This window comes from Homo sapiens, chromosome X (genome assembly GCF_000001405.40).
Source record: "Homo sapiens chromosome X, GRCh38.p14 Primary Assembly".
NCBI lineage: Eukaryota > Metazoa > Chordata > Mammalia > Primates > Hominidae > Homo > Homo sapiens.
Genome location: NC_000023.11, coordinates 48,472,177 through 48,486,530, shown reverse-complemented (window position 1 = coordinate 48,486,530; position 14,354 = coordinate 48,472,177). Strand labels below are relative to the sequence as shown.

Sequence of the window (14,354 nt, the reverse complement as noted above, 5' to 3'; positions counted from 1 at the left end):
CAAGATCACACCACTGCACTCCAGCCTGGGTGACAGAGCGAAATTCTGTCTCAAAATAAATAAATAAATTTGTTCTGCAGAACCCTTTGGCATCTGGTTAAATCTGTGAACCCCTTCACAGAATATTTTTAAAAGTATATACATACACATACACACACACACAATTACAATGGAAGCCAATTACATTGAATTACAATTATTACTATATATTAAATTGAAACAAAATTGAGATGCAGTAATATATGGGCTTTTTAATTAATACATCAACTTACAGGATCTGCTATCATTCCAAGAGGTGACAAATATGAACAATACTTCAAGATGCCCTTTTTATGTTACATTACAGTTGCTGTAACTGGTTTGTATTGGTGGGAAAATCCCAGGTACTGCTTTTACTACTGTGATTTGTTGCCAGCATTTATAACTTGGGAGTAAGGCTAAATTTCAGTTTCATTGCTGAAAATAAAGATGTAACATTTTCTTCCATCAAGTTCATGGTTACCCCTGGCTTCTATCCAGGTTAAGAATCCCTGCCTTTAGGGAAAATTCTGGACATAATCAGGACACTCCTGAAGAGGTTTAAAGAAGAGGTAAGACCTCACTCAAGAATTCCCACTGCAGTACAGACAGACTTTCATGGTTTCTTTCCTTGTTGTCTTCAGGGTTGTTGCAGATCCCTCCTCAGGGCTTGTTTGTCCAGGCCTCGTTGATGAGATGATATTTTGAAAACAAGTTCATCAACAAGTTCCGGTTTTCCTGACATTGAGCAGTTTCTGAGTTGTATCAGTTTGCCAGCTAACCAAAAGTCAAAGAAAGTTTTTTTGTTTTGTTTTGTTTTTTTAGAGACAGGGTCTTGCTCTGTCACCCAGGCTGGAGTGCAGTGGAGCTCCATCATAGCTCACGACAACCTTAACCTCCCAAGCTCAAGTGATCCTCCCACCTCAGCCTCCCAAGTAGCTGGGATTACAGGCAGGAATGTGCCACCACACCTAGCTAACTCTGCTGCTAACATTTTTGTGACATTTCCTCCTTTTATGGTGAACCATGACATATAGAAAATGCATAAAACCTATATATGTTCAGTTTAATGAATAACTACAAGGTGTTATTTGGTGTAATTGCAGGATGTTCACTGTCATTGTTGTACAGTTCTCCACGGTGAATGTACCACGATTTAATGGGCATATACTATAGATAGTGCTGCTAGCAACACTCTAGGACTCATTTCCTTTTTTTTGAGATGGAGTCTGACTCTGTCACCCAGGCTGGAGTGCAGTGGCACGATCTCAGCTCACTGCAACCTCCACCTCCCAGGTTCAAGTGATTCTCCTGCCTCAGCCTCCTGAGTAGCTGGGATTACAGGTGCCCGCCACCATGCCCGGTTAATTTTTGTATTTTTAGTAGAGATGGGGTTTTGCCATGTTGGTCAGGCTGGTCTTGAACTCCTGACCTCAGGTGATCCACCCACCTCGGCCTCCCAAAGTGCTGGGATTACAGGCGTTGAGCCACGGCACCCGGCCTCTAGGACTCATTTCTTAGGAGTGGAACTGGCACACATGCAGCTTTAGTAGGTAATGCCTAAGTTTCCACAGTGGCTGCACCATTTTACCTTCCCAGTAGCATGTACGAGGCTTTCAATTGCTGCATATCCTTTCAAATACTTAGTGTTGTTGATATTTTGAGTTTTCACTTGTATTTTCCTGATGAGCAGCTTTTCATGTGCTTACTGGCCACTCTCATGTTTTTCCTTATTGATTTACAGGACCCTTTAAATATTAAAAACTGTAAATCTCTTTCACACAATGATTTGCTGTTTCAATTTTTTCTTAAGGTGGCTTCTTGTGGCCAGGTGTGGTGGCTCAGGCCTGTAATCCCAGCACTTTGGGAGGCCTGAGGCAGGCAGATTTTGTGAGGTCAGGAGTTTGAGACCAGCCTGGCCAACATGGTGAAACCCCGTCTCTACTAAAAATACAAAAATTAGCCGGGTGAGGTGGGAGCACACGTCTGTAATCCCAGCTACTCAGGAGGCTGAGGCAGGAGAATCTCTTGAACCCGGGAGGCGGAGGTTGGAGTGAGCTGAGATAGTGCCACTGCACTCCACCCAGCCTGGGCGACAGAGCGAGACTCTGTTCTCAAAACAAAACAAAAAACAAAACAAAAAAGGCCAGGTGTGGTGGCTCACACCTGTAATCCCAACACTTTGGGAGGCCGAGGCAGGTGGATCACCTGAGGTCACGAGTTTGAGACCAGTCTGGTCAACATGGCAAAACCCCATCTCTACTAAAAATACAAAAATTAGCCATGCATAGTGGCGGGCACTGTAATCCCAGCTATTTGGGAGGCTGAGGCAGGAGAATCGCTTGAACTTGGTAGATGGAGGTTGCCGTGAGCTGAGATCATGCCACTGCACTCCAGCCTGGGTAACAGAGTAAGACTCTGTCTCAAGAAAAAAAAAAAGGTGGCTTTTTGTGATGGCTGACTTAGTCTGAATAACCTGCTATGCCATTGTCAGAAAGGGCCATCCTCTAACATCGTGGTTTTAGAACATTTGGCTATGGATAAACTTTCCTCCCATACCACGTGCAGTTCCACCTTTGGGACATGCCTATTTCCTTTACCCAGAATGCTCTTCCCTCAGATAAACACATGGCTTCCCTCCGGCAGTGCCTTCAGGTCTTTGCTCAAACATTACCTCTGAGGAATGTCTGAGGCCTTCTATGACAACCCTTTTAAAAAGTGCAAACTGGCTGGGCGCAGTGGCTCATGCCTGTAATCCTGGTACTTTGGGAGGCCGAGGATGGCAGATCGCTCGAGCCCAGTAGATCGAGACCAGCCTGGGCAACATGGCAAAACTCCATCTCCCCTAAAAATACAAAAATTTGCTAGGCATGGTGGTACATGCCTGTAGTCCCAGCTACTTGAGAGGCTGAGGTGGGAGGATTTTTTGAGCCCGGGAAATCACACCACTGAACTCCAGCCTGGGCGACAGAGTGAGACCTTGTCTCAAAACAAAAACACCAAAAGATGAAAACTGCCATGCCTAGAATTCCTGATTCTCTTCACCCTGCTTTACTTTTTTCTATTTTTTATATCCCATATTACTCTTATATATTATATATATTGCAAGATATGTAAATTGAGAAATGCAAGCTATATAGTATATATGTGTATGTAAACTCTTGCACTTACAGACTGTTTTGATTGTTGCCTCTTTTCCAAACTGGAAGTACTGTGAGAGCCAAGATATTTCTGTTTTGCTCCCTGCTCTATCTCCAAACCTAGAACAACACCTGACATACAGTATGTGCTCAATAAATGTTTACTGAATGCCTCAAATGTAAAATGCTTAAAGCAGTTCCTGGCATACAACAACAGATGTTTAGAAAAGGGTTTGTTGATTAAAATCTTATCAGTTGACATAAAAATTTCAAAGGTGAAATTTTACTGAGGTTTTTCATAAAGGTTGCCCTTACTCAAACTCTTAGATAACAAGGCAAACTTACCGTAATGGGTTAAGGTGAACAACTCATTTCATTGTCTTCCATCTACCCAAGAAAAAGAAAAGTGACTCACATATTTGGCGAAACTTTTCCATTCATTATGCTTGGCTTTACCAATTTTTTATAGCTATTGGGAGGCAGGAAAGGGAATTTTGGCCCCAGAAACCATGAGATTTGGGTCAGAAAAAGGCACACGGGGAAGGGGTCAAGGCAGGCTGAGAGTCACATTTCCAGACCTCAGGGGCCAGCAGGGTGTGGCACTGAGGGGCGGCCAGGGGCTGGGGAAACGTGTCCACTCTGCTGATGGGGCAGTCCTGGGGGCGGATCTCCTTGGCCAGCTGCCCCTTCCTCTTCAACGTGCAGGCCTCCTGGTATGGTGGCGAGATGGGGGGCTGTGTGGGTGGAGTGTACTTGTACTCTGAGCCGCCCTCTAGCTGCAGGGACAGAGGGGTAGGGAGATGGTGAGGACCTGGTAACCTAGGACAGCCTCCCTCCCACCCACCTACTGTTGGTTGGGCACTCACGTCCAGTGGGTAACTGCGGTCCGAATCATAGGAGCTCAGGTCCCCACAGGTCACAAAAGGCACAATGATGCGGGTGGGACCATCCAGCTGGTTGAAATCTGGGTCTTAGGAACAGGGGGAGACAACTGAGGACAAGGTCAGGATGCCTGGGGCCAGTCATGACACAGGCGGCGGTATGGCTGCCAAACCCTCCCCACATATCCACCAGCTACTCTCTTCCCACCCCACCAGAAATCCTTCATTTGGTTCAGATCACCTCCTCGGGGAGGCCCTCCATAATCACCCCTTCTAAAACATCGGTGCCCTGCTATTTTTCACTGCATTTATGTCCACCTGATATTGGATTATATGCTGCCTGGATGACGTCTCCCTCACTCAAATGTCATCCCAGGGGCAGGCTCTGTCTCTTCCTGCTAGAGGCTTAAGGGGCAAAAGTTTCACACCGAGGAGGTTTCCACCTGGGACATGACTGAGATCTTCCTAGGAGAGAATGTCCTTAGGCAGGTGGAGTCTCCACTGGGGCAGGGCTCAGGATCCTCCTGGGATGGAATTTTCACCAGGCCCAAGAGTTACCACTAGAGGACTGCCTGGGCTGAAGCTCCTCCCGGGACAAAATACCCATAAAGGGGTGGGATTTCCATCAGAGAATGGGGCTAAGGATCCCCTTGGGAAAAAAATTCCCATGAGGGGACAGAGCCTCCCCCAGGGGGTGAGACTGTGGGCCCTCATGGGACCTAGATTGCATAAGGTGTGGCAGAGTCCCCCAGGGTGGCCCATGCTCCAGCTCTCACCGTAAGAATGGTCCAGCAGGGGTTTGCTCAGGTCCGGGATGAAGCCCTCGGGAGGGTCATAGCCCTGACAGACAGCGAAGGCCTCTGCCAGGGGAAGGTGGAGTGAGGCATGACTGCCGCTTCCTCCTCGTGCAGTCGGCGTCCCAGAGATCCCCCTCTGCCTGCCTGGCCCCTCCACCCCACTGACCGATGCTAGAGTTCCGGCTGCTCCTGGGCTTGGCACACAGCACGCTGGAGAAGAAGACCTGCAGCTGGCTGTAGAGGAGCGTCACATCCCGGCCTCGGAATATCTGCAGGGTGAGAAGGCAAAGACAGCGGGTGAGGGTGGCCCTCAGCGACCTCCCTCTACTCCACCAAGTTCCTTGAGACTTACCTTGGCCACAAAGCAGCCCCCTGGCTTCAGGACATGTGTAGCAATGTTCAGAGCCTGTGGGCAGGACAGACGGCTGAGGCTGAGGTGGAGACAGCCAGGAGGGGGCCAAAGTGGGTCAGGGGTGGCCAGGGTTACTCACAGCTAGGAGGAGCTGGGCCTGCATATACTCATCAACATCATGGAGACCGGTTACTGTGGCAAGAGGAACAGCGTTAGGGGGGTCCCATCTGGCTCTGTGCATCTTCTTGTACCACACAGATCAGACACTAAATACATTTTCCAGGCTGTCTTACTGCTAAGGTTCCAGATGCAAATTACTGTCTGCCAACTGGATGCATATTCTGAGCTCCTAACCCTTAGGAACTCATTTCAATTCTAAAACAACCTCACACACAAGCATCATTATCATTTCCACCTCCAGCCCAGACTGTTCCTCTGAACTCCAGATTCACAAATCAGATTCTACATCTCCAATACATCCACAACCAAACTCCTGACCTACCTCCCCAAACCTGCTCCTCCCACCATCCTCCCCATCTCATCTGAGCTTTCTAATTGTTCAAATCCAAAACCTTAGTCACCTCTGATGCTCCCCCCGCATCCTCTCCTCACACCCACATCGAAGCCATTAACACATCTACTTTCAAAAGATCTGACTTGATCTTCTCCTCTCCACCACTGCCCTCACCCATTATCACTTGCCTGGACTACTCCACCCCGGAGCCCCTGCTTCTGCCCTTGGCCCTCACACAGCTCATAGTAGCCCAAGCCCAGCACAGTCCTCTTCTCCTCACAACCCTCTCATGGTTTTCTCCAAGCTCTCATCTCGGTGAAAATGCCAACAGCCTCACCATGGCCCACGAGGCCCTATAGGATCTGTCCCCTGTTACCTCTCTGATGTTACCTTTTACCACTCTCCCCCCCTCACTCTGTTCCAACCACAGTGATCTGCTTGTCATTACTCATACATAGCAAGCACCCTCCTGCCTCAGGACCTTTGCACGGGCTGCAATTTTTCCTGGATTGCTCTTCCTCCAGACATATCCATAGCTTACTCCCCCACCTCCTTTAGTCTCTGCTGTTAAGTCAGTGAGGCCTTCCCCATCCACTTGATTTAAAATTCCAACAGGTACTCCTGCTTTCCTCCTGCTCAATGATTTCCCTATGGTACCCATCCCCCACCCCACCTTTTTTTTTTGAGACGGAGTTTCGCTCTTGTTGCTCAGGCTGGAGTGCAATGGTGCGATCTCAGCTCACTGCAACCTCCGCCTCCCGGGTTCAAGCGATTCTTCTGTCTTAGCCTCCCAAGTAGCTGGGATTACAGGCACATGCCACCACACCTGGCTAATTTTTGTATTTTTAGTAGAGATGGGGTTTCATCATATTGGTCAGGCTGGTCTCGAACTCCTGACCTCAGGTGATCTGACCACCTCAGCCTCCCAAAGTGCTGGGATTACAGGCGTGAGCCACTGTGCCCGGCCTCCTCACCCCGTTTTTTTAGAGAGAGGGTCTCACTCTGTTGCCCAGGCTGGAGTGCAGTGGTGCGATCAAAGTGTACTGTAACCTCGACCTCTTGGGCTCAAGTGATCCTCCCACCTCAGCCTCCTGAGTAACTGGGACTATGGGCATGCATCACCATGCCAGCTAATATTTTAAGACAGGGTCTTGCTATGTTGCAAGGCTGGTCTCAAACTCCTGCCTCAAGTGTTCCTCTCACCTCATCCTCCCAAAGCACTGGGATTACAGGTGGAAGCCACCATGCCTGGCCCCATCCCCTTTTAATGGTACAGAGCTGAATCATTTATTTTCTTTCCCATTTGCTCCCACTAGAACATCAGCTCCATGAGGTTAAAGATTAATGGAATTTTATTCATGAATGTTTTCCCAACACAATAGGTGCTCAGTAAATGTGTGTTGAATGGCTGGCTGGCTGAAAATGAATGAACAGTGCAACGGAATTGGACAGTTGCAGAGAGATGAGAGCAGGGAAAGGTAGACAACAGACATGAAACTCAAAGGGTGGGGTGCAAGTGGGAGGAAGAGAGAGGCAGAGAGAGAACAGGCAGCAGAGGTAGGGAGAAGTTGCCAGATGTGGGAGAAAGCTGAGTGCGGAAGGGAGAGGCAGGGAGTAACTGAAGAGGTGAATAAGTCAACCAAGGTGGGAGATACAGAGAAGGACACACACAGGGGGCCCCGCCTGGCCTCCCACTTTCTGTTGCTATTTACCATCAGGAGCCCCGTCACACACCACTAGGTCCGCAGGGCAGCCCTTAAAGTGCTGGATGATCTCCTTGGCAGTGGACAGCTATGGAGAGAGGGAGGATGAGTGGCCCCACGGCCCTCCACTGCTGCCCTCAGATCCCGCCTGCCCATGGTCCTGGCCCACAGCCCCTGGGTCAGCCAAATTCCCAGGCTTTGCCTCTCTAAGACTGGGCTCCACCTCTGGGGACCCAGCATCATCATTTTCTGCTGTGTCTGTGCAATGATGACCTGCTGACTGTTTCTCCATGGTTACTCTCTCACTCTCTTTCTCTCTCTGTTTCTATCACCTCTCTGTTTCTCTTCCACTCTGCATAGACCCCAGGTAAGGGCCTTCACCCAGGATATACCCCAACACCCTCAGCCATGCTCTTACCTGGGTGATGTCCCCCTGGATCTGTACCACACCTGGTAGTGGAGCCATAGCCTGCAGGTCCACAGCCACCACGTGGCCGGACCCTTGGCCCCTGTGGACAACATGGCCCACATCAGCCTAGTTTCGCTCCCGGGCCCCTCCCACCCAGCCGGCCCTCCTGGGTCTCCCATCTGGGACCCCCACACTTACCCGATCTTCTGGCTCAGCACCTGGCTCCAGCTGCCTGGGGCTGCACACAGGTCAACTGCCCGTGTCACGCCTGGGCATACATAGTGAAAGCATCCTGATCAGCTGCACCCACTTCTCCAACCTGGAGACCCTTGCAAAATTCACCCCTCTCCCCTGGGGAGCACCCACATATCTCCATTGCCCAGGTGCCCAACTCCTCTCCGGTATTCTGCCTATCTTCCTGCCTGTCTCCCTGCCCCAGAGACCCTCTGAGTCAGCCCACCTACCACAGGGAGCTCTGCAGACCCAGCCTACTTGTTTACCTCCTGTGCCCACCTCACCGCCCAGTGACCTGCCCACCAGTCAGGGACCTTGGAAGAGTTGGAATTCCTTATCCAGTTGTAGCAGTTTGAAGGCGCTGCGAGCACGCCAGCCATTCTCCTTGGCCAGGCGGTAGTAGACATCCCGCTTGTCCTTTGACGTCCGTCCCATTTCACACACCAGTTGCTCAAGGACCTGCCGACAGTCCACTGATGCCGGCCAGTATCAGTAACCAGATGAATGGGCTACCACCTACCTCTGTAGGGCGGAGAGAACCACACAAACTAAACTGGGCTCATCTGACCCACATGACAGCTCACACAGAAGATGGGCTGACTGAAGCCCTGGCACTGACCCCACTGACCTTATAGGGCCTGAAGGACCCAATCACTGAACTCTCAGGCTCCACTGCTTATCACACAGACCCTCCTCGCCCCCATCACTTACCCCACAGTTCCCACAAAAGACCCCATAAACCCAACATTCATCCCATAGATGGCCCACTTGTGAACCTGTCCACCTCCCATCACTGTCACCCACACTCCACACATTAAACCCTGCAACTGCCACTATCAACCCTTCTCTGCTCATGTCATGCCCATTAAAATCTCACTGACTGTATCCCCAGTTGTCCCCATTGCCCCTAGATTCATATAGTCCTATTAGCCCCCATTAATCCCTTGTTTTCCACCTTTATCCTAATACTACTTCATTGTACCTCCCACTCCCTATATCTCTCTCGTTTCACCCCATTCGCCATTAATCCCTTAGATGATTAGGCCCCTTTATTACTACATCCTTATGAACCTCTAACAATGCCTGGAGAATCATGGTCTATTAGCTCCCCATTAAGCATTCAATTACTGATTTATCAGCCCCCATTAACTCAGTTTTCTCCAATAGACCCTTCATAGATCACAGCACTAGCCTCCTGCCCTGTAACTCTTTCATTAACAAACACGTTAACTGATCACACATCAGTTCCCCATTCTCCCCTCACTGTCCACCCTGCTCTCCATGGATCCATCACTGGATGATCACACTCCAACAGTTTACTATTCACCTACTATGTATCAACAGAAGTTAACCCCCCCAACCCTAGTTTACTATTGCCCTCTCTTTACTCACTCTGTCCCCTAATTCCTCGACGGTCATGCCACCATAGCCCAACTACTGACTCTGACTACAACACCATCAGCCTCTCATTATCTTTTCTTTCACCAAGGCCCCTTGATCATGACCTCCATCCATCTATTATTCCCCCCACAACCTCACCATCATCCTTGCCATTACGATGCCCCATCACTTTCCATTAACCCGTTGAATATCATACCTCCATCAATACCTGGGGGATCATTTTCCCATCCATCACTCGTTATATTCTAGTTGCTTACTCTGCCATCCCCTCATTAATCAATCAATGAACAACAGTTCGACTAAAATATTCTTATTAGCCCCCATTGATTCCCCAGTAACACCCCACCCTCACGCTCCACCCAACCTCCCAAAACAGCCTTCTGACCACACTCCCCGTCCCTCCTCATCAATACCTCAAAGATGATAGCTCCATCGGGACCACCGGGTACCCCTCCAGGCGGCTCCGACCGCTGCGTCCCATGTCCCCACCTCGAATCCACCCCGTCTACTGGTCCCCTTCTGCAGACAAACCTTGGGTCTAGAACCCACCCGGTGCCAGCCGCCCGAACCATACACAGCTACGGCGCCCAGGGCGGACCTCCCTCCTTTCCCCGCAGGCGGGACAGTGCAGGCGTGCCTCAATAGCCTCCGCCCGCATTCCTGTCCTCCGCGCCCCAGGGCCCACCTTAGTTTTCGGAGCAGGGTGGTCCGCGAGCAGCCTGTGCCTCGGCGAGAGCGCAAACGGGCGACAAGTCCTAGGGCTTCAGTTTGTGTTCGTAGTCCACCCGAATGCCCGGGGGGGCAAGCCTATGGGCTGTCGCAGCGTGGCAAACTCGGCATCGTGGATCGCCCAGGTTCCGGCGGGCCGGGACCTGATGTGAACGTACAACGTGAGCCCCGTCATCTATTGTCGACGTATCCGGGGCTCGCGAACTGCGTTTCCCGGCATGCAACGGGCACGGCCAAAGCGGCTGAATCCACGCACTGCGTGGCTGCAGCGACGCGACGCGCAAGTTGCCAGCGATTCTTTGTTCTTTTTCTTCCGAGGCCAAGATCGATTTGCTCCCCCGCCCCTCCCTTCTTGGACCGTGCTTGTTATTGAGCCTGTAAACTACATTTCCCAAGATGCCACGCGCAAGATGGCGCCCATTCATTTTTCGCGTGCCGGGAAGCGAAATTACCACTCGGGGCATAAACGTGACAGTAAGGAAAATGCGTTCTTGAAGTGCGCGAGCGCGCGGAGGCTGCTCGGCTGCAATTTCAGATCGCACTACAGCTAATGCATGGCGCTGCCTGAGTTTTACTGCCTCAGAACTTCAGTTTCCCTGTCTGGAAAGTGGGGATAATCAATAGTATAGACTTAACAGCATTATTGGGAGGGTTAAATAGGTGTAGCTTAGCCACTCTCTGGGCTTTTGTAATTCTGTGATCTTCAAATATTTTAAATTCCATCCCAGACACAAAAAAAGACTATACATCCTGACCCAGTGGACAAACGGAAAAATAATGAAAACGTTTATCATAGTGTTTACCATGTGCTAGGCTCTAAATGCCCTCAGTGGTGTGCTGGTAAATGGTTAACCACTGGCTGGGGCGGGGGTGGTGGCGGGGAGGGGTGGGGGGAAGGGAGGCTGGTTTCTAGCATTTACCAATTTCCATGGCTTAGGTACAATCTTCTTGTTAGATTTCAAGGTACCGACCTGTGGTCACTGAACAGGGAGTTTAAAAGAGATGCAGTAGTGCACTATCATGTATTATTTTTACCATACAGATAAAATGGGGGTAAATGACCTCAAGAGCATAGAGAATAGTGGAATGTGGTAAAATTAGGAAGTTACCAGTTTTGAGTAAGTTTATATCATTTCATTTTTAACCATAGCTGTTTAACTTTAGGGGGCTGAGGTGGAAGGATCGCTTGAGTCCAGGACTTCAAGACCAGCCTGGGCAATATGGTGAGATCCCCGTCTCTACAAATAATAAAAATAGCCGGGCGTGGTGGTGTGTGCGAGTAGTTCCAGCTACTTGGGAGGCTGAGGTGGGAGGATTGCATGAGCCTGGGAGGTCAAGGCTGCAGTGAGCCTTGATCTTGCCACTGCACTCCACTGTGGGTGACAGAGTGAGACCCTGTCTCAACAAACAAACAAAACCAGTTGTTAAACCAGCTGTTTAACAACCAGTTTGCAAAATTTCTGAAAATTGAACAGCTCCTCCCAACCTGTATAAGTTGGCTCCAGCATGTCCTTCCCTTTGTTCATTCATTTTAATCCTGGCAACATGCATATGAGTATTAGCCAGGGGCGGCGGCATGTGCCTTTAGTCCCAGCTACTCCAGAGGCTGAGGTGGGAGGATCCCTGGAGCCCAGGGGTTTGAATCTAGTCTGGGCAACATAGCGAGAACCCATGTCTCTTTAAAAAATAAAAGGGCTGGATGCAGTGGCTCACGCCTATAATCCCAGAACTTTGGGAGGGCGAGGCGGGGGGATCACTTGAGGTCAGGAGTTGGAGACCAGCCTGGCCAACATAGTGCAACCCCGTCTCTACTAAAAATACAAAAATTAGCTGGGCGTGGTGATGCGCACCTCTAGTCCCAGCTACTCAGGAGGCCAAGGTGGGAGGATCACTTGAACCTGGGAGGTGGAGGTTGCAGTGAGCCGACATCGTGCTACTGCACTCCAGCTTGGGCGACAGAGTGAGACCCTGTCTCAAGAAAAAAAAAAAAAACAGAATGATTGATTCCTTAGCACACGAGCTTCACCAGGCAGGGATTCCTGTTCTGTCATGTTCACTGCTGCCTCCCAGTGCCTGGAACAGGGGTGGCGCACAGTTGGTGTTCAATAAATGTTGGTTGAATTCATCCTTTTGTTGCTTCGTTCCTTAATTTTTTCCCCAGTGGTGCGTCCTGCATTTCTATGGAGCCCTGGGTGGAGGCGTAGAGACTCTGAGAACCAGGGAAGAAGCCAGAGCTTTGTCAGCAGAACTCAAGGGCATTGTGGGACTGTGGGAACATGACTCCCCTGCAGAGGCGAGCGAGTGTGAGAAAGGAAGGGTTCGAGCCACCAGGCCTCCGCTCCACAAGAGAGGAGGGGGTGCCAGGCATTGGGGGCCCATGTTCACCCTGTGGGACGCTTCCCACGTCCTGTTTTCTTGTCGCTCACGAAGAGGATGTTTAACTTTTAGCAAAGAAACTTGCTTCCTCCAGCAGGACCGGGGGTTTGGGGGACAGGAGCCAGGCTCTGAACTCTCCAGGCTCTTCCCGAAGTAGGGTGTCGGCCTGCAGCTCCCACCCGGCACCCCACTGAGTGTAAAGGTGTCCTTCCCTTGGCCTCCTGGAGGGGTCAAGGAAGGGGGAGCTGCCAGGCCAGCTCTTTCCCGGTGGGGGCATCTTAGCAGTGTGAGGGAACGAGGGGGGTGGCCCAGGGGCAGGGGACTAGGACTTTGCTGCCCAGGGGCTGCTTTGAGGAAAGGAAGTGACTGGAAAGAGTTACTCCGTGGGGAGCCTGCATGAAAGGACAGATTGGAATCCCATATGCAGCCCAGCAAGTGGGACTTTGCTTTCGCAGAGAAGAAATCATTAATTCCTCCCACAAATATGTATTGAGCAATAACTATGTGTAAAGCATTGTCTTAAGTGCTCTGCCTGTGTTAATTAATTCAATTGTCTCGATAGCCCAATGAGTTAGGCGTTATTAGGCCCTTGAGGAAGCTGAGACTCAGTGAGGTTTAGGAATTTGCTTGTTTAGCCACACAGCTAATAAGTGGCAGAGCTGAGAAAGCTTTTGCTGTTAACTGCTTCACTGTGTCCCTCCCTCCCCTGGATGCTACCGGGAAGTGAGCTGTTTTCATCAAATGTCTCCTTAGAACTGATGATAACCCAAAGTGACTTTTAACAGATTTCACGGGACTCCCATGTGTCACACAAGGGTCTGGTTTACTGAACCAACAGAAACCTTAAATGACCCTGAGAAGGAGCCCTACTTTGATGAACTAACAAAGTGTTCTTATCCCTGGCACAGCCTCAAGGCCTCGGTCCTGCTTAAAGACATCTGTTCCTTCTAAAGCAAATTCCTCTAAGCAGCCAGATCACACATTCCCTTTGTTTTCCCGCTGCCATACCGGCTTATGTTGAGCACCTGCTATCTGCAGTGCCCTGAAACTTAGCAGAGCTGTCGGGTTCTCAGAGCTGGATGGAGGTTCATCTCTCCCGTAGAAGAGTTCCTTTGGCAGAAATAAAAGTAATGATAATAATACGACATTAGATAAGTGGCCTTTGTTGAGCGCCTGCTGTGTGCCTGGTAGCCCTGTGTTGGTCCATGTTGGAAGGCCAGTAGAGGCAGGCCCTGGGAGGGAAGGGGAGCAATCAGAGCAGGAGGCTGTGGCAGGGAGGCGGCGAATGGATGCAGAGGGGAGGGGGGTTGTCTTTTTTTTTTTTTTTTAAATCCAAATAAAGTATGCTAGTTATTTGGACGGGACACTTCAGACTTGAAATATGGATACCTGCATCCCCCCCACCCCCCGACCTTTAGCCATCTGGGTCAAAGCCTCTAGTGACAGGTGTCTCTTTCCCTGGCCAGCTGGTAGCACAGATGTGTAATGGCTCTGGGTGGGGGAGGGGTATGAGGGGAGAGAGAAATCAGAGTAGATAGGAAAGGAGACAGAGGCTGGAGGAGGTTGGGCAGGAGTGTGTGCGCACGTGTGTGTGAATATGCTGAGTGTATCTCACCTGCCCGTTCTCAGCCACAGCCACACGTATGTGAGCTGTGCCTGCGTCTTCCTATGTAACTTGCCTGGTGCTGCGTTCTGTCTATGGCCGCCTGCCAAACTTGTGCTTTTTTTTTTTTTTTTTTTTGAGATGGAGTCTCACTCTGTCGCTTGGGCCGGAGTGCAGTGGCGCGATCTTGGCTCACT

At 50.3% G+C, this 14,354-nt stretch overlaps 1 protein-coding gene and 1 long non-coding RNA gene across 13 annotated transcripts; one reads left to right on the top strand and one right to left on the bottom strand.

Moving 5' to 3' along the window:
- On the bottom strand, positions 167–10,332 carry FTSJ1 (FtsJ RNA 2'-O-methyltransferase 1). 12 transcript variants are annotated; one of them, XR_949015.3, is made up of 14 exons: positions 10,135–10,332; positions 8,363–8,570; positions 8,013–8,082; positions 7,824–7,914; positions 7,415–7,493; positions 5,328–5,380; positions 5,189–5,242; positions 5,003–5,105; positions 4,816–4,899; positions 4,025–4,128; positions 3,737–3,934; positions 3,504–3,545; positions 3,190–3,290; positions 167–795 (listed from the first exon to the last, which is right to left on the bottom strand). XR_949015.3 is itself a non-coding variant. In NM_001441195.1 (14 exons), exons 3-13 carry the CDS (start codon positions 8,481–8,483, stop codon positions 3,513–3,515), a joined length of 990 nt encoding a protein of 329 aa, NP_001428124.1. In that variant the 5' UTR covers positions 8,484–8,570; positions 9,863–9,968; positions 10,135–10,332; the 3' UTR covers positions 181–795; positions 3,504–3,512. The 12 variants fall into 12 exon arrangements, 9 of the variants coding, with proteins under 9 accessions (NP_001428124.1, NP_803188.1, NP_036412.1 ...); XR_949016.3 differs by having other exon boundaries at positions 3,190–3,278; XR_007068186.1 differs by having other exon boundaries at positions 4,025–4,122.
- Positions 10,188–12,303, top strand: LOC124905185 (uncharacterized). The gene is made up of 2 exons (XR_007068226.1): positions 10,188–10,652; positions 11,343–12,303. It is a non-coding gene; the product is annotated as an uncharacterized LOC124905185 (long non-coding RNA).